Source organism: Homo sapiens, chromosome 3 (assembly GCF_000001405.40).
Source record: "Homo sapiens chromosome 3, GRCh38.p14 Primary Assembly".
Classification (NCBI taxonomy): Eukaryota; Metazoa; Chordata; class Mammalia; order Primates; family Hominidae; genus Homo; species Homo sapiens.
Genome location: NC_000003.12, coordinates 184561551 through 184582811, shown reverse-complemented (window position 1 = coordinate 184582811; position 21261 = coordinate 184561551). Strand labels below are relative to the sequence as shown.

The window sequence follows — 21261 nt, the reverse complement described above, 5'->3', positions numbered from 1 at the left end:
CTCTGAACACCAGTGGCTCTCCTTCCCTTTGTCCTTGGTCATGTGACCCTGGGAACTGATCAACCCCCTCTACCCTCAGCTCCCTTAAAGACAAAGGCTGGGAACCGACTCAGTAAAACACCATCCAGACACAAGAGCCTGCCCCCACCCCAGGAAGGTCTCTGCCTTAGAAGGAAGGAGCTCTGGGGTAGTTAGCTCTCCGTTGCCACTGACCCACTTCCAAGAAGTGCGTTAGGTGTTCAAAGCAGTGAGGGCCAAGCACAAAGGGGAAACTGAGCCTGGATGGGCCCAGATCTGGTTTCCCAATGCCTCCAGGGAGTTGCGAAGGGTTGGCAGCCAGGGACTGTGAACTCTGAATCAGGGAATCTTGCTTTGGGAGGAGGAATAAGAAGGGGCAAGAGAATCATCTTATTGCCTTTATTCTGCTGTCGGCCCAGCTGGCCCCATTGTAGGGCACAGGGCCAAGCTTTTACACGCTCACCCATGCTCTCTGTGCAGGCCAGTGCGTGCACACACACACGCGCGCGCGCGCGCACACACACACACACACACACACACTCACACATCCCATCTCTGGCTCTGAGAGTCAGTCTCTGGGGGGCAAAGGGCAACTCCTCAGCCTGCCCCTGCCTGCCCTTTTATGACAGCACCAAGGGCGGGGGTGGGGACAGGGCCCTCAGCCCCCAGAACAAATCCCTGTGCAAACTGGAGGTGCAAGCTGGCTTCAGGATGGTGGTGTCACATTTCCCCATTCCTGGAGTCCCCTCCTCCAGTTCCTGAGGGAGGGACTGCTCTCCGCCTACCTGGGGGGCCAGACCCCTGCCAGGGCTGGGCCCTGTGGAACCCCGGCTTACCCCAGCCTGACCCTGCCAGGACCTCCAGCACTGAAGAACAGACAAGTGTGAGGTTGTGGGGATCCCCTGCTGGAGAGCAGGAAGGTCTGGGCCCTGAGGGGCTTGGGGAGGGGTCATCACCCCCTCTCCTAATCCATCTTCAATATGAAGAGGTTTGGGGCGCACTTCCTGGGGAGGGAACACAGGCCTGGAGAAGTCCCAGCTTGGGCCTTTCCCAAACTTCCAGCTTCTGGGCCACAGCCTAAGGCCAGGCATCCAAAAGTCCAAGAGTCCGAAAGTCCAGCCGGCTGCTTGGCATCCCTGCACGGTCCTCAGGGTCCCCGTGGGAGCCGGTGTCAGACCTGCACAGGCAGCGTCTGGTTCATCTGCAGCCGCATGTCCTGGATACTGCTCAGGATCTTCTTCTGGTGGCCGGCCAGGGTGACCCCAATACGGAGCAGGTCTCTGCAGGTGGAGCCAAATTAGGATCAGTCCCTTTCCTCGTGCCCTCAACTCTGGGCCCAGCCTAGGGCCCCCTGCCCTGCTCCTCCAAATCTGAGGCACACTTACTCTGCCGTCATCTGGGCCACCAGGTCAAAAGATGCAAACCCCGCACTGACGAAGCTCTCCTTGTACCGCCCCATCTTGATGGCATCCAGCCAATCACCAACTGTCGTGAAGGTTGTGTAATCTGGGACCGTGCGGTCCAGGAGGGGCTGTGACATGCTGTGGGAAGAAGAGAAGGACCTGGTGAGTCTTGAAGGTGGGAGATAGGGCTACTGGCTTGGCGGGAGCAGAGGCAGAGGTACTAACCCAGACTGAGCGCTGGCAATGACCTTGAGGCTGGCAGCATTGCGGATGAGCTTGTCCAGGGTATTGACAATCTGGGAGAATTTGGGCCTGAGGTTCCGGTCCCGCACCCAGCAGTCCAGCATGAGCTGGTGCAGTGCTGTGGGACAGTCCATGGGTGGTGGCAGCCGGTAATCCTGCTCCACGGCATTGATGACCTGGGCCGAAGGCAGGGAAACCCTGAGTGAGCCACTGCCATGATCCCCAGCCAGCACCCACCTACCCAACCACTCTGGCGTAGCCTCACTCACATCCTGGTTGCTCATGTCCCAGTAGGGTCGCTCTCCATAGCTCATGACCTCCCACATGACAATTCCGTAGCTCCAGACATCACTAGCAGAAGTGAACTTCCGATAGGCTATGGCCTCTGGGGCAGTCCAGCGGATGGGGATCTTCCCGCCCTGGTGAGGGGGGCACAGGCCCTTCACCCTGTGACTCCGGGCTGCCCCCCAGGCCCGAGCCCCTGGCTGATAGGCCCCGCCCCCAGTCTCCCTCCCAGCGGCTTCCTGTACCAGGGAACTGGTGTAGGTAGGATCGGAGGGGTCATCCTCCAGGAAGCGGGAGAGGCCAAAGTCTGAGACTTTGCAGACCAGGTTGCTGTTGACAAGGATGTTGCGAGCAGCCAGGTCGCGGTGCACATAGTTCATCTCGGACAGGTACTTCATGCCGGCAGCAATGCCCCGCAACATGCCCACCAGCTGGATGACCGTGAACTGCCCATCGTTGAGCTGCAGGCAACAAGCAGGCTCAGGTGAGCCCATTGCTCCCATCAGCCCATGGCCTGCCCACCTGCCTTCCCTCTCCGAGTACTCAGACTCTACCTCGTCTCTCCTGCAACCATGTCCAGAGTGCCCTGAGGGTAAGTGAGCTGCCCTACTATGTGTCAAGTATCTTATAGACAACATCCCAGTTAATCCCCATGAGGACCCACTAGCTCTTACCACTGCCATTCTACAACCAGGCAGCTGAGACTCAAAGAGGTTAAGTCACTTGCCTGAGGTCACACAGGCAGTAAGGAACAGTCAAGATGTGAACTCCCATACTTATGGCTATGAAGGCCCTGCCATTTCCCTGCACCAAGCCACCTCAGTAAATGCTTATGGACTTGAATAGGGGCTGTCTGACTTGTGGGAGGGGATGGTGAGCCCAATCCAACTCTCTGGGGGAGGGAGAGGGCCTGGGGGCTGGCTCTTACCCGGAGGAAGGAGTCCAGGGCGCAGTTTTCCATGAACTCAGTGAGGATCATAACTGGCCGACTTTTGGTGACCACGCCCTCGAGCCGGATTATATTGGGGTGATCAAACTGACCCATGATGGAGGCCTCGCTTAGGAAGTCCCGCCGCTGCCTCTCGGTGTAGCCCACCTTCAGCGTCTTGATGGCCACAAACACCTCTCGGCGGCCAGGCTGTTTCAGTCGACCACGGCACACTTCCCCAAATTCCCCTGCAGGGCACAGGGCACAAGCTATGACTCACTCCTGTACCCAGCCCGCCTCAGCTTCTCATCTCTACTGTGCCCCGGGAGACTCACCAGCTCCGATCACCTCCTCGATCTTGACGCAGGACACGTCGATCTCCTTGGCAAACTCCCGAACAGCCTCATTAGGGTCCTCGTAGGTAAAAGGGTCAATATAAACCTTCATTCCAGGAGCAACTGGAGGGAGAAGAGGTGGGCGTGAGAGGGTAACGTCAAGCCAGCCTCTCCCTGCGATGGGCACAGCTCCAGCAGGCTCCCTGCTGAGCCCAGCCCCATATTCCTCTGTGTTGCTGCCCTAATCCTCCAGCTCCCATGAGAACTCCTGGTGACCATAAAGGCTAGACACCTAGGATTCTACTCCTAGTTTTTCTCTCTCATCTCTCATCACATCCAGACCTCTCTCAGATTCATGCCTCCCCTGGTTCCCACTGCCCCGACCTTGTCCAGGCCTTCAACACTCACACTATTCCAATAGCCTCCCAGCTGGGCTCTCTGCCTCTGGACTTTTCCCACCGAGCTATCCTGCATACCGCTGTCTTCCTAAAACAATCCTTTCATTGTATTACTCCCCAGCTTGAGAGCCTTTCCAATTACCTATGGTGGAGTCAAGTCCAGACTCCTCTGCCTGCCTTTCAGGACCCTCCGAGGGCTGGCCACAGCTACCCAGCCTGGCTTCCCAGCAGCTGTCAAACCAGTCTTCTCGCTGCCCCCACAGTTGGGCTCCTTCCCCACCCCGCCCACTACCTTCCAGAGGCTCCTCTGGCCAGGAATGCTCTCCCTCACCTCCCAACACCCTGCTCATCCCGCCTGGCTCAGCTCAAGTCCACCTCCTCGAGGAAGCCTTCCTCTTCTCTAAACTCTTAGTGCCCTTTACAACAGGAGCACCCAGCTCAACCCTTAATTGTTCTCAAATTGTTTCCTGTGTGTTTGCATCTTGTCTTTCCCACAGGACTAACTGCCTTTAGGGGGAGAGGTCACGTCTCAGTCATTTCTGGGGCTAGCAGGAGTGAGTAGGGGCCCAGGGTACCCGGAGTGAGATAGGGGTCAGGAAATGCCACTTGACTGGAAGTGGGAGGGGGCATTCAGGGTTTATCTCTAAGGAATGAAGTCCCAGGCAGGGAGAAGGGTGTCTGAGAGCCCTGCAGGGGGCTGGGAGAGCTTGGGGAGGGCGGCGGGGACAAACTCACTGTACTGCTGCAGCTTCTCCGTGTACTCCGAATCAGAGCCGTGTCGCTGCTTCCTGTAGGGTGGCAGGGTGGAGGGCAGGCCTGAGACAAGTCATCTGCCTCCCTTTGTTCAGGGCACCCTTGGGCTCACAGAAGGGGCGGAGAGGATACAGGGGATGGCCTGGGGCCTAGTCCCACAATTGGTGGTCACAGCAGTCTCTGGGTGTCTGAGCAAGGGGTTCAGTGGACTCAGTCCCTAGGGAACCTGCCCGGAGATTCAGGGAATGGGGTATGGAGAAAGGGCGGGATGAAGACACAGGCAGGGATGGGAGAGGGCTTCTCCAGCAACGGCTGGCCCCAGGAGGGCTAAGGCCCTGGGTCTGAGGGAAGTGGTGGCGGCTCATCTCTGTGGCATGAGGGCTCTAGGATGCTAAAGGGCAGTTCGAGGCGGCCCATGGAGCAACAGTGGGCCTGGGAGTACCTGAGGCAGACGATAGCGATGACCACGACAGCCACCACGAAGACAAGCCCAGCTGTAGCGGAGCCCACGATGAGGGGAAGCTGCTCCTGGAGCTGCTGGGCCCCAGAGCCTGGAGATAGAGAAGGGGCTGCTGAGTGGAGGGACAGAGAGTGAGGGCCGCGATGGGGACAGGCGCAGGGGGCTACTAACCTCTCTCACTTGTGGTCTCAAACTCGGCAGGGCGGCTGTACTGCCCATAGCCAGCTACTGTGCGGGCACGGACCTGGACCACATAGCGGGCGTCAGGCCGAAGCCCGTCCAGCTGCACGGAGTTCATCTGGCTGGTCACTGTGGAGGCGATGCCCTCGCTCTGCAATGCCAGGAGAGAGGGGGCACCCTCAGGTGGGTCCTGAGGCCAACCAGCCCCTATTCACACCCAGGCCTGCCACATGCCCCCTCCATACCCAAGGCCTTGCTCCCAAGGGCCCCATCATGATCCGGGGGTAATTTTCTCAGCCCAGCTCAGCCCAAGGCCTCCTCCTGCCCCTTGAGGTTCTGACCTTCTCAAAGTACTTCATCTCGTAGTCCAGGATGACTCCGTTGGGCCGCTCTGGGGGTGCCCAGGATAGGGTGAGGCTGCTGCCTGAGCTGCTGTGCAGGCGTAGTGTGGGCACTTCAGACGGGGCTGGGAAGAGCAGAGGGCTCACCAGGGGCTCCCTGGACCCTGGCATCCTTCCCAAAGACCCACTTCCCATGGGACCCCCAGTGGTCCCTTAGCAGGTCCTGGGACACCTCATCCAGGAGAAAGTGACCCAGGCCCTACCCTCCAGTGTCCCCTCCTCACCAGCCTGGTTTGTGGTGATATTCACGGCCGCATAACGAGGCGGCAGAGGGCTCTTGCCCGAGACACCGTTGACCGCCTGCACCTCAAAGGTGTAGCGCGTGTGGGCCAGCAGATGGCTGATGTGGACCCGGCGCTCCGTCAGGCCCAGCTGCCGAGGCACAAACTCCACGTTGTCATCACAGCGTGAGCAGGCTGAGGCCCCTCCAGCCCCATGGCACTTCTTGCAGATGACATTGTACAGGAGGTCATCCCGGCCACCCAGGTCCCGGGGCTCACTCCACTCGAGGATCAGTGAGGTTTCATTCACATTGGAGATCACACCTCGGGGTGGAGATGGCACGGCTGTGAGGAATATGGAGGGAGAAGGTAGTGAGCTGGGGGCTCTAGGACCATCCCTCTGCCCGGAGTTCCAGCACACTCCAATCTGCTTTCTACCTCCTTGCCTTGCCTCTGCTTTGATAAGCAGAATAACGTTCCTACATTTCTTCACCAGGCAGACTCCTATTTATCCTTCAATACCCAGCTTGTGATATCACTTCCTTTTGGAAGCCTTCCTTGATTCGTCCTTGCCCTATACTCTACATGTACATAAAACAATTCCTAGACAGCCTTCTAGCCCAGCTCTTAGTACATTACGGTCATTATCTGTTTTTACACCTATTTCTCCCACCAGGTTGTGAGCTCCTTTAGGACAATGACTGTATCTTATTCACCTCCTCACCCTCGATACCCAGCACAATGCCCGGCACACCGAAGGCCAGGGCAGAGAGGAAGTGGAGCACCAGGCCACCCTCAGGATGTGAGGCCCCCTCCATGGTTAGAGTGGGGCTGGAGAGAGGCACTTCTATACAGACGGAGGGGCAACGGACTAGAAGGCCAACTGCTAAGCTCCTAGCCAGTTCCTGAGCATGGCTAGGAGCCAGTTCCTGAGCATGGCTAGGAGCAAGTTCCTGAGCATGGCTAGGAACAGGTAGGTGCTTAGCAAGCGTTGGTGGAAGGGACGAGCCGGCTGACCTGGATTCTGGCTCAGGGGCAGTCACCTCCCAGTTGTGCCATGTTGAGCGCAACATCTAACTTCCCTGAGCCTCAGCTCCTTCCCTGGAAAATGGGGCTATTCATAGTGACTGCTTAGGCTTCCCAGGCTGGCCCCCCAGAGGGAAGGCCTGCAGAGGGAAAGAGAGGTCACGCGTTCACTCACTGGTACAGGCACTGTCCGCAGAGTCCGAGTCTGCACGGTAGAAGTTATTGTGGCAGGTGCAGATGCTGGCGGCTGGGGAGGTGGTACGGCTGTTGGGGGGACATGGGAGGCAGGGCCCCTCTCCCTGCTTCGCCTTGTAGCTCCCAGGGGGACAGGCTGTGGGAGAGAAGAGGATGAATGGGGCTCACCTCCCTTCCCTGCAGACACCAGACCTCCGCAGCTCCATGAGAACCTGGCTTCTCCCCAGCCTAGGTCTGGCCCCTCCACCTCCTAGACTGTGGGGGCAATGCTGGGATTGCCTAACTCCAGCTGCAGCTACAAAAGGCCCTATTGCCCCATGGAAACCCCACGTCAGCAGATTCCTCCCCGCCCCTGCCCCCCTCACCCCTACCCCGGGGCCTCATGGACGAAGACGTCAGCCCCATCACCTGGACAGCCTGGGCTTGTTGAGGCAGGGAAGACAGAGAAAGACAGAGGAAGAGGTGGGGTGAAGAAGAGACCACCGGTGGGCTAGCAGCACCCGGCACTGTGGAGATGCCCCACCTCTCCCCGAGGCTCCAGAAAAATCATTCCTGAGGACCCTGAAGGACACCCTAGAACAGCCAGGAGACGGGACCTTCACAGTGAAGCTCTCGCCCCACCCACCAGGCGCAGGCAGCAGCTCCTGTCTGCCCTTGGGCAGGGATGGGGGCTGAGGACGGGTGAGAGGAGGAGAGAAAGAAAGCAGGCAGGAAGGCTGGGGTCACCTGGAGTTCAGAGGCCTCAAGTGTCCACAAGGGGACTCACCCCAGAGCAAGCCCAGGGCCTGAGCATCCCTTCTCCCCAGTCTTCCCTCCTGCCATCTACCCTTGGGCCCCTGGACACAGGCTCTGTGGATTGATGGTAGCCTTATCGTGTATTCTTCACACTGGAACATTTGCAAGTCAAAGGAGGCACTAGTAATAACTGTGTTAGGATAATGGGCATAAACCAAGACCCTCCTAGACACTAAAGTGGGTCACTGCCTCTCCATATGACTGCCTGTGGAGGGGGACACCCATAGGGGAGAACGCCCAGCGCTAGGGCTTGCCCTTTTCTGGGGTTTCATCTGCCCTCACGAAGGTGATATTCCACCCTAGCTCTTTTGAGCCAGTGGGGGAGGGGGCAGAGGCCAGGCCAGCCTGGTTGCTATGGGAACCAGCATGCATTTCCTGCCGGGGACCTGCAGAGTGTTAGCCCCTCTTCAGGCTGTCAGGCTCATCACCCCACCCCCTTTCTCCACTTAGGAAGAGGAAATCTCAGGACAGATTCCCATCGAGAAGTGGAGAGGGCCCGGGAAAGGCACTGTTCACCTTCTCATGACAACATGGCCTCGCAGCCAGCTTCATGCTGCCAAGCCCCTCTCACGCCTAGGGCTGCCATAAGAGTCATCACCTACCCCTCAGAGCTGTAGGCTGCAAGCCCCAAGGAAGAGAATCGGGCAGAGGGAGCGAAAGACAGGGCCCTCAGCATGCCATCCTGCATGGCAGAGCACAGGAGGAGGCTTCCGTGCCAGCTTCCACATTCCCTAGCTACAAGGCCTGTGCACAGAGCTTCTCCAAGACTCAGTTTCCTTATTGGCGAAATAGGGAGATGGCAGGAATCTACCTCACAAGGACTGGTGAGGCTCAGTGAGAGACCCCCTAGGTGGACAATTTTGATAACTCCGAAGCCTAGTACATAAGTCTTGGCAAGCCATCCGAGGCAGGCTTCCTGAACTCCTCATGTATACAATAAGGGCAGAACAGCCCAGCTCTCGTGGATGCCAGGGCTCTGGAGACTCATGGCCAACACTTAGCTGGTGGCTGTGCTCCCATGTGCCAGACACTGTTCTACGGGCAAAGCATTGCTCACATAAGAAGCCTCGCTACAGCCCTATGAAGGAACCTCTATTATTTTCCTCATCTTGCACATAAGGAAACCAAGGTTCAAACAGTTAAGTAACTTGCCCAGGGCCAGGAGTGGTGGCTTACACCTGTAATCCCAACGCTTTGGGAGGCCGAGGCGGGTGGATCACTTGAGGTCAGGAGTTCGAGACCAGCCTGACCAACATGGTGAAACCCGGTCTACTAAAAATACAAAATTAGCTGGGTGTGGTGGCACATGCCTGTAATCCCAACTACTCAGGAGGCTGAGGCAGGAGAATTGTTTGAACCTGGGAGGTGGAGGTTGCAGCAAGCCAAGATCGCGCCATTGCACTCCAGCCTAGGCAACAATTGTGAAACTCCATCTCAAAAAAAAAAAAAAAAAAGTAACTTGCCCAAGGTCACGTAAGTGGTAAGTGACAGAGTCAGGACTCAACTTCAGGGACTGGGCCCCTAACCACTGTGCCATTTATATACTGCCTCCCAAGGGGCAGAGAGCCCAGGGTAAAAAGCCATGCACAAGGTACCCACAGCCCCCGTGCCCTTGGCCCTGGGGCCAACCTACCACTTTCAGGGTGAAGCATACACTCAGGCCGGGACAAAGCGAGCATCTCTGCCAGCCTCCTAAGCTTCTGACTGCGTTCTCCAGGTGCCTGCTTGCCAAGGATTCTGCATGCTTCTCTTCCTCTCTCTTTAATGTCATTTTTTCTCTTACTATCCTTGTGTCTCTCCTCATTTTCTCTCTCTTCTCCCTCCTTACACAACATTCTCTGCATCTGATCCCCACTCTTCCCTCTCCTGCCTCCACTGTGGACCTGCTCCCAGACCTCCTAGTCAGATAGCAAGCAGGGGTGGGGGGCGGGGCGGTAGGTAGCTGTGGCCCAGGCCCTCCCGACAACCCTTTCCCCAGGACAGTCCCCACTCACGGCGGCACTGGGACTCCTTGGCAGCTGGCTCATGGCCGGTGGCACAGGTGCAGGCACCCACAGGCACCATCCACTCCCCATCGCCGTTGCAGTAGAGCTTGAGTGGCACCGACACCTCCACGGCGTTAGGGATGCAGGTGCCAGGAGCAATGACCAGCGAGGTGGGCTCCGCCCCAGTGAGGGTCTCGGGGAAGAGTGCGAAGCCTGCGGTGGTGGATGCACACTTCTTGTAGAAGGCGCGCACGGAGATGAGCGACATGCAGGCGCCCTGGTCCTGGAAGGCCAGGTAGAAGCCAGCCTTGGAAAGTGGCCCAAAGCTGCGCACCTTGGTGTTGACACGGCCGGCATCCAGCCGCGAGAAGCTCTCATCGGGTGCAATGGTGTCCACTTTCACGTAGGGGTTCTCCATCCAGAAGGGGGAGGAGGCTGAGGCCACATCGCTGTCAGCCTCGTAGTAGAAGAGGTTGAAGGTCTCCTTGCAGGAGCCGGGGATGTTGGGGATGCTGTTGCAGTCACGCACAGTGAACTTGAGCTCCACGTAGACCCGCTGCACATCCCGCCGCCAGATGAACCCCGTGCGAAGCCAGTTGTTCTGGCTTGACTCGCGCACATTACACACCTGGTATGTGCGGATGGGATTCATGGCCTCATCGTAGCCACTCACCTCTTCCCACTGTGCATGGACCAATGAAAAAGACAGAGTGAATGCCTGCATTTGCCAAGTGCTTCCCTCGTGCCCAGATCTGCTCTATTTACTTCACAGGGATGCTTCTATGGTGTGCAGTGGCTGAGCATACAGGCTATATGGGCTCAAATTCCAGCTCTCTGCCTGCTGTGTGATTATGGGTAAGTCACTTAACCGCCATGTGCCTCAGTTTCCCCATCTGTAACATGGGGATAATAAAGATGTGTAAGGAATAATGACTTTAACTGAATAAAGCATTTAGGACAGGACTAGGAACTTGGTAAGTACTGCAGGAACATCAGCTATATTTGTTATCTTTATACCTCAGTTTTGTCATCTGTAAAATGGGGCTGCTTGGAACTAAACGAGGCTGTGAGGAATTAAATCAGGCTAATAAATGTAATGGGCTTGTAGCAGTGCAAGCACTTCCGGGCTACTGGCTGTCACTATCAACATCGCATTCAATCTTCACAACAGCTCCATGAGGAGCCGCATCTGTTGTCCCGACGTTTAGAGATGAGGAAGCCAAGGCTCGCAGAAGGGAGTTTTGCCCAAGGTCACACAGTCAGGCCTGGTGACTGCAGGGCCTGTAGTGCCATCGTACTCCAGGGTTCTAGGGCTTAGAGCAGCCATGAAGGCCATCTAGGGAGATTAATTAGAATATGTGAGAGAGGTCCGGACTGCGGGAATTTAACAGTCAAGAAGTGGCCACCCAGAGGGGTAAACGGCCTTGCCCAAGGTCACACAGCAAGTTAAAGATCTGGAACTAAGGTTTCCAAGCCAGTGTTTTCTCCAGGGACCCAGGGAGGAGGGAGATGGTGGGGATGGACATGCAGAGGGCTGTTAGGAAGAGAGGGAGAGGGAGCGGGAGCTGGGGGGCACAGGCAGGCAGAGGGGTGAGAGATAGAAATGCCCACAGAGAAGGACCATGAGGTGCTTCAGAGGGTCACAAGTGAGGATGATGGGGATGGCACAGGAAGTGAGGGTGACAGGCAGAGGGCAGAGGCAGCCCTCCTCCAGGCCCTGGTGAGATGAGGGGGCACGGAGGCTGGAAGTGGGGGGAGGCCTAATGGCAAACAACACTCAGGAGAATGATGGGAAAGCCTCACCCCACTTTCTGGATGAGATGTCCACGCCAACTCAGATGTTACCCATTTTGTGTCCATGAGGGTCTCTGGAGGAACAACGGAGAAAAAGGTCAGGGACTAATCTCAGGTTGAGGAGACAGAAGAGATCACAGATGAGCGAAGTGGCTCACACCTGTAATCCCAGCACTTTGGGAGTCTGAGGCAGGTGGATCACTTGAGGTCAGGAGTTTGAGATCAGTCTGACCAACATGTTGAAACCCCATCTCTACTAAAAATACAAAATTAGCCAGGCTGGTGGCGCACGCCTGTAATCCCAGCTACTCGGGAGGCTGAGGCAGGAGAATCGCTTGAACCTGGGAGACGGAGGTTGCAGTGAGCCGAGATTGCACTACTGCACTCCACCCTGGGCAACAGAGAGAGAAACTCTGTCTAAAAAAAAAAAAAAAAGAAAGAAAGAAGAGATGGCTCAGGAAAGGATTCCCCCCAGGCTCCACTTTCCACAAGTCCTGAAAGCCCCCAGTTTCCCTAGCCTACAGGAGACCCTGCGGCCATCCCCAGAGATGTCACAGCCCCAAAGATGTCAGGTCGGGCAGGCTAGGGGTGAGTGCCCTGACCCCAGGCCTGGGTTAATGAGGCAGGAGCAGAGGCTGGTCCACACACCTACAGGCTCTGCTAATCTCCACACAAAGGGGCCGGCAGGGCCTTTATCCTGGAACAAAGGGCTGTGTGCTCCAGACCCTGGCCCTGGCCTCCCCTGACTCCGTTCCCAGCACAAAGGCCCAGCCCCACACAAGGCCCAGGGGAAGGGGAGGGCAGTGACAGGCCAGAGCCAGCTCCCACGCAGCACCTACAGGTGATGGGGCAGGGATGCGCTTTGAGGGTGGAGAGGGGACCACCAAAGCCCCAAACCAGCTCTTAGTTCAATTCTTCCTGCAATCCTTGGAAGAAGGTACTGTTGGTGTATCCCTTTTACAGAAGAGAACACTGATGCCCAGACAAAGAAAATACACTGCCTAAGGTGAAGTTGCTAGGACTTGGGGTGAGGGGACAAGGGTGGATCAGGTTCAGGTGTATCTGACTCTATAATTAATCCCTTGCACTCTGACTGCAATATGCCCCTCTGTAAAGGAGGGATGAAAGAAAGCCTAGAAAACTGCCTATCATTTAAGTCCCAACAGAGCTGTTGCCTCCTCCAGGAAGCCTTCCGTGAACCTCCAAGTCAGGGTAAGATGCCCTCCTTTGTGCATCTAGGGCCAGGGGCTTTGTCACAGTACCCGGCCTGTGTTCTGAGCTGGTTTCTTGTCTGTTTCACCTTGTTTGGTCATAGGAGGGGCCCGTTAATGTTTCTGACATACACTTGCTCCCTTAGGAACCTGGTTCTGCGCTCTGGCTGGATGTCCCTACTCTCTGAAAGACAGTGTGACCCCCAGATTAGACCTGGGTCAGGAAAGGAAGGAAAGAGGTGCCAACTCCTTTCCCGTGGCCTGGAAGACAGTGCAGCCAGCTCTGAAGCTGGAATGGGGCAGGGTTGCCCCAGGACCTCTGGAGGCCTCTACATCATCCCCTCTGGGTGCCCAAGTGGGGAAAAGCCCAAACCCCGCGGCCACAGGCTTGCAGCCTTCAGTGGTTTCCCGGAGGCTGGGTCTGAGCCGAGGACGGCGGAGGACCCCGTGGGTGGACAAGGCAGCTGTGACCCCAGCCCCCCGCCATGTCAGGCAAAGGGGCTGCAGGCAGCAGCCATTCACTGCAGGGAGGGAGGCTCCTCCCGCTGCCGCAGCCCCTGGTCCCCTGAGGGCCCGGCTGTAAGGGGAGCGATCCTGGCCTCTGGCAGACAGACAGACAGACAGACAGACACAGACATTCGGCCTGGGGGGTACTCGAGGGAAGCCGAGATGCTCAGAAGCCGGGGCCCACAGAGACAGGCGGGGAGGGAGGCGGGCGGGGCAGCGACTGGAGCTGGCGGGCGGTGGGCGGCACGGAGCCGGAGGGATGTGCGGAGCCGGCTGGCGGGGATCCGACAGCCGGGATGGCCGGCGGCTGACTACAAAGACAGGGAGACCGAGAGACGCGGAGGCCCGAGGAGACAGGGACAGAGGGAGGTTGCCAGGCGGCCTCGTCCCCAGCCGGCAGCGCGAGTGTCAGTCCCGGGAGCCGGCAGAGCAAGCGCGCCCTGCCCCCGCAGCCAGTCCTCCCGCCGGTCCGCCCGCCGGTCCGCCCGCCGGAGCAGGCCGGGGCTCCAGCCGCTCCCTCGCGCCGCCTCCCTCCTCCCTCTCCCTCACTTCCTTCTGCTCAGCCTGTGCCAAACCCATCTGGAACTGTTTAAACCCAAATATTCAGCCCCCTCCCCCTCCAGCCAGATTCCTCCACAGTTTAAAACAAGCCCTGCGCTGGCTCCGGGAGGAGGGAGCGGAGGGAGGGGACGGCGGAGAGGCGGCGGCGGGAAGGAGGGAGGGAGCGAGGGAGGCAGGGAGGCTCTTCATTTCTGTTTAATTTCTGGGGAGCGAGAGAGGGAGGGAGGGAGGGGATCGGCCCTTGGCCATCGCTCAGCCTTGGCCATCGCTCAATCTCGCCACATTTTTCCCATTAATGAAGAGAGGACTTGGGTTTCGAGTCATGTGTGCCCGAGGAAGGGCTCGGTCACTCCGGTGGGGAGGGGGCCGCGTGCTCTCGGTTTCCCCGTTTCTCAGGGGGAGAGGAGGAGCCTGCTCCCTTCAGCCTGCCCAGGCACAGAGGACGGGGCAAGGCCCTCCTCAGCCCTGGGGTGCCTGGTCCCTGCCTTCGGCAGGAGGTGAGGGGGATGTGGGGGGGGGGTCATAGAACCCATCTGTCCGTGGTATTGGGAGAAAGAGACCCAGCCCACCTTTTCTGTGCTGTGTGTGCGGCGTGTGCATGTGTGTGCACGTGTGTGTACGTGTGTTGTACATACACACGTTGGGACGGGGGTATGAGGGGCAGCGGGTAAAGACAAAAGAGGAGTGAGTGAGCAAGTTCTCAACTCCCCCAGCTGCCTGCTGCACCCCATCCCTCGCCGTCCTGCCATGTATCTGCAGGAGGCAGAGGGGAGAAGAGGCTGGCCACCCTAGACACTGGGCTGTGTCAGGCAGGAAACCACAACTGCCCAGCAAAGTCACCAGGGAGGTAGTCACCAGGCCTGGGGTCTTTCGGGGACTGGAGCTTTGATGCTCAGGAGCTAAGCAATACCTCTTTCAGGTTTCCACAGGGCCATGGAGAGCAGCCACGTGGCAGCAGCTGTGTGGCCCTCACCCATGCACAAACACACAGATGCACGCGCAGCATCCAGTCCTGGGGGCTGGGCTCACTCCCCGCCACTGGGGCTAAAGAGTGACAAGTCAACACATATGGTGGACAAAAACACACAAAGCCACAGCCGCCCACAAACACACACCCAGCTTCACACAGAGCCATGGTCTGTCTTTCTCAGACACACGGATGCATATGGTACAAACAGATTAGTCTTCCTTAGACATTCATATACAGTGAATCTTTCCTACACAGAGATCTGGCTTGCCTTAGGCGGACCCACGCTTCCAGCCTACCTATGTGCAGATTTCCTGAAACATATGCGCACACAGAGGGCACTCACCCCCAACCCTGCAGTATGTTCTCCTTACACACCCAATTGCACATGCTATCACCAGCTGCAAGTCACACAGTCTTCGGTGTAAAGTGCAAACACAAACACCAGTTTCCCTGTATAGACTTGGCGACATGCTTTTAGTCACACAAACTACAATCAGCTGCAAAGTCACAGATGTCCAATGACACTGAAATATGCCACAGCCCCTGCAAAGGAGCACCCTGACATGGTGTAAGTATCAATACCTAGATTTGTGTAAAGCCTCAGAGGTGCATCCTCCATGCACCCGCAACACACACACACACACACACACACACACACACACCCTGCAAGCATGGTTCTGTTTATGGGATGTCTTCCAGTGGGGTAGAGGAAGAGTTACTGGGAGAGGGTGGTACCCCTCATCCTGCCCCCAACACTCTGGTGCCTCTCGCTCAGGCAGGGCAGCCACATGGGCCACTCTTGCAAGGGAAGCAGAGGTGCTGGGGCAGCCTTAGCCAGAGGTGTAGGGAAACAGCCCCAGCCCTGCTTCCTGTTGTCCTGGCTTGGGCAGGAGCTGTCAGTCAGGTCACGAGGCTGGGGTGGAGCAGGGGCATGAAGATGATTCTGGGTGTGGCTGGGTGCGGCCTCCCCAGGTATAGCCGCTGCCCAAGTAACAAGCCACTTCCCTGCCAGCACAATGGCACTGTCTCCAGGGCCCCTGAGCCCTTGGTAGAGGGTAGCTCCCTGAAGAGATTTGGCTTCAGAAGCTCTGGGCAAGGCTCTTCCGCTTGCAGGTCGAGGACCTTGAGCAGGGCATGAGGAGGACATCATGGGCACCCTGGCCTGTGGGAGGGGCACCAGCTGAGGGCCTACCACCTGCCCTGGTGGAGGGCCAGGCCCCATAGCACCCTGGGAGCAAAAGTGTCATTGAGACCCAGAAAACAAACAAACAACAGAAAAAAACAAGCCAAAACAAAAAACAGAAACACAAAACAACTAAAGACAGAAGCAGCAAGGCTTCAGCCCAAATTCCAGACTAGGGACTTAGAGGTGGAAGGAAAGGTCAGCACCAGGGCTGGGCCCGCAGAGTGTGCAGCGGGGCAGGAGGGCAGGGGGCCAGGGTCTGCGCAAGGAGGAGCAGCCTGGAGCAGTGCTATGCCACCCGAGTTGGACACCCTCCTCCTCTTCACGGAGTCCCTTCCTCAGCCACCAAGCTGGCTCCCCTCCCATGGGTCAGGATGTGTACACACGTGTGCCAGCCTGTACACACAGGGAGGTCAGCGTGAGGATCAAGGCGTCTTGGGGGGAGCCTGCCATGGGACTGGAGAAGATGCATGTTGTGGGGAGCCTAACTCACCCAGGGCCACCTCCTCCTTTCCTGCCACAGCCCCTTGGCCCCCATGTCTGGGATGGGGTGGGGGGAACATCTCAGAACAGAGAACACATTTTGTTTTTCATTCTTCCCCTCAGATCATGGGGGTTTCTAATTAAATAAACCTGAGAGGGAGAAGAAGGGGAAAGAAGCCCAGGGCGGGGAGCCCAAACGCCTCGGTGCTCATCCATGCCCCCACCCCACTGTGGCCCTGCCAGCAGCCAGAAGGACGGGTGGACAGCTAGCCCTTAACCTGAGCCCTTCAGCCCTTCCTTGTGATGCTGGCCACACTGGGTCTGGCCAGGAGGCTGGGGGCAGAAGGGAATAGGAGACCTGGCACCAGGGCTAGCCCTTGGGCAGGGGGCCTCTCCCACCCCATCAGGTGCCCAGCTGTATCCAGTCTCCCTCCACCCTTCACCCCCCCCAGCTGCCCAATCCCGACAAACCAGTTTGACTCAGCACAACAGGCAGGGCTACAATTTTCAAACTATGCAGGCCTGGTGATTCAGCCTCTTCATGCTGTTTAATTAGTGGAAGGCCGTGCGGCAGAGGCCTTGCCCACGGCAGCTTCGGCAGCTTCGGCTTCAGCTCGCAGCAGCCGCTGAAGCTGCAGTGGCAGCAGCAGCAGCTGTGGCTAAAGACAGGGCAGTGCTGAGCAAACTGGTTCTTCCAAATACCTGCCGGCCCCCAGCAGCTGCTCAGAAGGCCAGCTCCTGACAGACAGGGATGGGGTTTGGGGGTGCCAGAGGCAACTCAAACAAGTGAGCAAGCCCTCCAAATCCTGGCCCGCTGTCCCCTCTCAGTTCCCGTGTTCTCAGGGGTCACTCCTGCTGCCCCTGTGAAGGAGGTGGGCTCTATGCTGTCTTGTTCCTTCAGAGACAGGTTCCACTGCAGTGACAACTCAGCTACCAAGGCTTGGCTGGAGGGGGACGTGCTGGCCCCACCTCCTGCGATCTGGTAACTGTTTCTCTTTTCTCAAAAGGATATCTTCCCAGCGGGGATCTCTCCATCCTATCCCAAGTATAGGGGTGCTGGGGTTCAGACACCATTCCTCATCTCAGGCCCCATTCCTAGTCTGTTCCCCATTGGACCCCACCCCCTGACCCGTTGATGGTCCTGAGGGGAGAATAATCTTGGCTTTGGGGAACTGGGGAACATTACTCAAAAGACCAGTGGGTGACAAGGTGGCCCTGTTTCCCTGTGGCTGTGCGTAAAGCCCAGGGCAATTTGCATGGGGGAAGGGGACAATCAATCAGAGGGCAAGGGGAGGGCATGTTTTCAACCACGAGGACAAGCAAGGACCCAGGCTCCATCCACATGGAAAACTGATGACAGCCTTGGATGCAGAGTCTTGGTGACCCCCAAGTGTGCAGGAAGGGAAGAGGAACCAGGTGCTAGACAGCATCTAACTAGGGGGTACATGAGAGGTAGCAGCCAGGGCTCAGGGACCCTGGGCCAAAATAAATGTCATGCCCCAGACACAAAGAGCCACAAGGCCAAGGGCAGACCAAATCCTGACGAAACCAAATGGTAGGTTGGATGGAGAAAGCTAGACCCCCCACCTGTCAAGCTGGAGGGGCTGAAGAGATCTTCAGTGCTATGGAACCCACATATCCTGGTCACAGCCCAGGACCTCGAAGTCCACCCATCCACATGCCAAGCCCCAGAATACAGGAGGGAGGACAGGCAGAAAACAGCTGCCCACTGGGCCAGCTCTCTCCCCATTCCTTCCCTCTCTGGAGCTGCAGGGAGATGTGGGGCAGACAGCCCCACCCCCAGCCCCCTGCACCAACCTTCCCTTTCATCTTTCCTCCCTCTAACCTCCCTCCAGCAGGATAAGGGCACACACTCGTTTCACTCCTGAAGCTCCCCAAGGAGCAGACCCTAGGGTAACAATAATAATAACAGCTAATCCTTGAATAACAATGCCTATGCTAAGCACTTTGCACACATTAAGAATTCAGTACTCAGAAGAACTCTGCGAGGTCGGTGCGGTTCCTATCCTGTCTCCCAGTGAGGGAGAGCCAGAGGGTGGGTAGGTGCAATGTCTGCGCTGGGGTCAGCACCTTGCATTTGTTCCCTCACATTCTCCCACGCACGAACTGGAGACCAGAGAGTCTGAGGTATTGCAAAAGTGAAGGAATTGGTGAAACCACCCTTGTAGGCACCGCTGCTTCCCAGAGGCATCCCATGCTGGCCTGGCCTCACAGCCAGGGAGTAGCCCTAGCTCCCACTTCACAGTGGAGGGGAGGTGGGCAGGCCGGGAATGGGGAACGAAAGGTCCTGCTGCCCCCTCTTCCCGGGCCGCCCCAGCACATCAGGACTCGGCCTTCTGGACAGCCCCCCAGCTGCTTGGCCTGGAGGCTTGGAAGCTTGGGCTCCTGCTAGGGCCTGGACTCCTGAGGGTCCAGTAGGTGATGAGGGTTGAAAGACAGAAAGGAAGGGAAGGGGGGAGGGAGAAGTGAGCCTCCTCAGGTAGCCCCTGTGCACCTGACCCAAACCACACTCCCACTCCACACTCAGCACCAGCACCCACCACACCCACAACAAGGGCCTTGTGGCCCGACACACACAGGTGACACATAGCCCCGTAAGTGTATGAGTGTGTGTGTACCAGTGTCGCCTCTCCTGGACTACGACACAGAGACCCAGACACAGATCTGGCAACTAGAACAGGCTCCCTGGCTCACACCCTCAAGGCAATCAACAACAAAGCCCCACACTGGGTTCTCACGCCTGCGATCCTATCACACACATGTGGGTGAGTGTGTGCGAGTGTGGGCGAGACCTCGGTGTGTCAGTCTGAATTTGCATGTGTCCACCCGTGGGACTCGATCTGTCAGCACAGCAGGCTCAGAGATGAGGAGGGTGGGGGATCATAGGAGGTCTTTCCTCTGGAGAACATTAGAACGCACCAGAGGATGCCTTTCTCTCTGAACTGTGTTCTTTTTTCCTTCCAACCTTTAAGTTTACCGACTGTGAACATAAGAACAAGCCAAGTTCCACAGAGTTCGTGTTTTCGTTCCTAAACTAAGAAAGTAACTAGATCTGTTAAAGATACCCCAAATAAGTACTGCCTTTATTCCAATTGCCCTCGAATTTCTGTGGCGTCCCTCCCTCCACTTTAGGGAAGGTTCTGACCCTCTCTCATTTAATGGCTCCGAAATTCTTGGAAACGGGGCGTGAGTGTGTGTGGGCCTCCCTATTGTTTGTGGCTGGTGTTGGGGCCTCTGTCCGCGGCAAGCTTGTGTCAAGTGGCATGCGTGTGAGCTCTCCTGCCAGCGCCAACAACGCCGGGCTGTTCATCCAAGTACAATCATTTGGAAGTTGGAGCTGCCCCCCACAGCAGTCTTGGCAGGTTTCACAGAACCTATTGAGAAGCCTGGCCTTTTCCCACCAGCTACTGAGGAAGGCGCCGGGCTCTGCTGCTACCTGGGGCAAATCCCGCAACTTCAGGGGTTCAAATGGAGACCCAAGCCCTGCTCTAGCAGGCGGAGAGGGAGCCTCCACAAAGGGTGCGGGGGCCCGCCCATACAGCACCTCGGGTGTAATTGGCGCCCGGTAAACCATAAACAATAACAGGCCCCCGCCTGTCCGCCCCCGCAGCGGTCCCCTGACAAATCGGGGTGCTCGCACTCACACTCTCACAGTTAACTCCAACGGGCTCCTCATTAGCGCCCCCCAACCCGGGGAGTCCCGCTTCGCCCCCACCCGCCACAGCCCCGCGGCCCTCGCCTTGCCTGGGGGGTCGCCCACACGTCCTCGACTTCGGGGGGTGCCGGGAGCCCCACTTCTCTGCCGTGAGTGTGGGGGACTCCCGCGAAAGCTCACAGCAGGGCCAGGACTCTGGGGGACGTTCGTCCCGAGTCTAGCTCCCCGCGACCCCCCAACCCGCGGGCTGCCTGCCTCCGAGCCAGCTCCAGCCTCCGAGGCGGCTCCAGGGGCGGCCTCCCCACCCCATCCCTGGGCCCCGGAGCGGGCGCCGGTGGCGGGGCCTCCTCCGACGTGCGCTCAATCCGGGTCGGACCCACGCTGCTAGCCCGCAGCCCCGCGACCCCAGGCACCTTGTTCCCGGGCGCGCCCCCCGACGCCGCTCACCTTCCAGCGCCCGGCAGCCGGCGGGCAGCAGCAGCAGCGGCAGCAGCAGCAGCGGAGGGAGCAGCGGCAGAAGCCCCGGCGGCGGCGACGGCGGCGGCGGCGGGCGGGCTCTGGCCATGGCCGTGGCAGCTCTAGGAGCCGAGCCGGGCCGCGCCGGGCCGGGCCGCGCCGGCGGGGCTGCAGGCACCCGAGAGAGGGTGCGCTCGGCGGGCTCCGGGGCAGGCTCGCGTCGGGTCCCAGGAGATCCAGGAGAGGAGGGAATGCAATCCAGGCGGGCGGCTCCGGGACCGAGGCGGTGCACCGAGCCCGGCGGTCCTGGGGATGCGGACAGGTCGGTCCCGCGGGAATCTGGACGGACCGGTCCAGGAGGATCCGGGGCGCCGGGGAGCTGGGTGCCTGAGGACTTGGGGGGCGGGCCGGGGCAGGAGGGTGCAGGTGGTCGTGATTCGGGATGCACAGTAATCTGGCGGTCAGCTGCGGGCCCGACTGGGATCCGGGGCTTCGGGGGCGCGCGCCGTCCGGGGTCCGAGCTGGGATCTTGCTGCGCCGCTCACGTACTCACTTCTGCTGTCCCCAGCGCTGGCGCGGCCGCTCTGGGCGAGAGGGGTGGGACGGCCTGCCTGCCCGTCAACGCTGAGGCCCCGCCCCTAGCGGCTGGCCACCCACTCACAGACCGCCAGGCCCGCTGGTTCGGCCTCGAGAGCACTCAGCTGGAGTTCAGTTGGCGGTGTCTCCGCCAGGCCCACCCTCGGGGTCTCAGGGGCCGGAGTGGGCGGGGCTAAGGAAAAGATGAATTAGATTGG

The 21261-nt window shown here is 58.5% G+C and overlaps 1 protein-coding gene across 1 annotated transcript, besides 8 other annotated features; it reads right to left on the bottom strand.

Moving 5' to 3' along the window:
- Window positions 14-580: an enhancer, noted in NCBI's record as "H3K27ac-H3K4me1 hESC enhancer chr3:184300020-184300586 (GRCh37/hg19 assembly coordinates)". NCBI's record gives its function as "activates a minimal SCP1, AML or CMV promoter by ChIP-STARR-seq in primed H9 embryonic stem cells {active_cell/tissue: H9 hESC(primed)}" and the evidence as "EXISTENCE:reporter gene assay evidence [ECO:0000049][PMID:30033119]".
- Window positions 404-21027, bottom strand: EPHB3 (EPH receptor B3). Its single transcript, NM_004443.4, has 16 exons — window positions 20459-21027; window positions 11430-11494; window positions 9636-10308; window positions 6827-6982; window positions 5629-5970; window positions 5345-5469; window positions 4995-5154; window positions 4806-4914; window positions 4346-4398; window positions 3213-3335; window positions 2878-3125; window positions 2195-2410; window positions 1934-2083; window positions 1647-1840; window positions 1404-1559; window positions 404-1298 (listed from the first exon to the last, which is right to left on the bottom strand). The coding sequence occupies exons 1-16, from the start codon at window positions 20574-20576 to the stop codon at window positions 1190-1192; spliced, it is 2997 nt and encodes a 998-aa protein (NP_004434.2). The 5' UTR covers window positions 20577-21027; the 3' UTR covers window positions 404-1189.
- Window positions 6291-6893: an enhancer, noted in NCBI's record as "H3K4me1 hESC enhancer chr3:184293707-184294309 (GRCh37/hg19 assembly coordinates)". NCBI's record gives its function as "activates a minimal SCP1, AML or CMV promoter by ChIP-STARR-seq in primed H9 embryonic stem cells {active_cell/tissue: H9 hESC(primed)}" and the evidence as "EXISTENCE:reporter gene assay evidence [ECO:0000049][PMID:30033119]".
- Window positions 11697-12643: an enhancer, noted in NCBI's record as "H3K4me1 hESC enhancer chr3:184287957-184288903 (GRCh37/hg19 assembly coordinates)". NCBI's record gives its function as "activates a minimal SCP1, AML or CMV promoter by ChIP-STARR-seq in naive H9 embryonic stem cells {active_cell/tissue: H9 hESC(naive)}" and the evidence as "EXISTENCE:reporter gene assay evidence [ECO:0000049][PMID:30033119]".
- Window positions 12644-13590: an enhancer, noted in NCBI's record as "H3K4me1 hESC enhancer chr3:184287010-184287956 (GRCh37/hg19 assembly coordinates)". NCBI's record gives its function as "activates a minimal SCP1, AML or CMV promoter by ChIP-STARR-seq in naive H9 embryonic stem cells {active_cell/tissue: H9 hESC(naive)}" and the evidence as "EXISTENCE:reporter gene assay evidence [ECO:0000049][PMID:30033119]".
- Window positions 13933-14445: an enhancer, noted in NCBI's record as "H3K4me1 hESC enhancer chr3:184286155-184286667 (GRCh37/hg19 assembly coordinates)". NCBI's record gives its function as "activates a minimal SCP1, AML or CMV promoter by ChIP-STARR-seq in naive H9 embryonic stem cells {active_cell/tissue: H9 hESC(naive)}" and the evidence as "EXISTENCE:reporter gene assay evidence [ECO:0000049][PMID:30033119]".
- Window positions 14446-14960: an enhancer, noted in NCBI's record as "H3K4me1 hESC enhancer chr3:184285640-184286154 (GRCh37/hg19 assembly coordinates)". NCBI's record gives its function as "activates a minimal SCP1, AML or CMV promoter by ChIP-STARR-seq in naive H9 embryonic stem cells {active_cell/tissue: H9 hESC(naive)}" and the evidence as "EXISTENCE:reporter gene assay evidence [ECO:0000049][PMID:30033119]".
- Window positions 18295-19047: an enhancer, noted in NCBI's record as "H3K4me1 hESC enhancer chr3:184281553-184282305 (GRCh37/hg19 assembly coordinates)". NCBI's record gives its function as "activates a minimal SCP1, AML or CMV promoter by ChIP-STARR-seq in naive H9 embryonic stem cells {active_cell/tissue: H9 hESC(naive)}" and the evidence as "EXISTENCE:reporter gene assay evidence [ECO:0000049][PMID:30033119]".
- Window positions 21002-21061: a silencer, noted in NCBI's record as "silent region_14969". NCBI's record gives its function as "represses an Ori minimal core promoter by ATAC-STARR-seq in GM12878 lymphoblastoid cells {active_cell/tissue: GM12878}" and the evidence as "EXISTENCE:reporter gene assay evidence [ECO:0000049][PMID:35858748]".

Excerpts from the sequence above, each read along its gene's own strand:
- EPHB3 (NM_004443.4), bottom strand. The coding sequence starts at position 20,576 with ATGGCCAGAGCCCGCCCGCCGCCGCCGCCGTCGCCGCCGCCGGGGCTT. Across the intron at positions 4,399-4,805 it reads ATCGCTATCGTCTGCCTCAG|GAAGCAGCGACACGGCTCTG; the intron begins GTACTCCCAGGC and ends GCCACCCTACAG. Across the intron at positions 2,411-2,877 it reads CCCTGGACTCCTTCCTCCGG|CTCAACGATGGGCAGTTCAC; the intron begins GTAAGAGCCAGC and ends TGTTGCCTGCAG.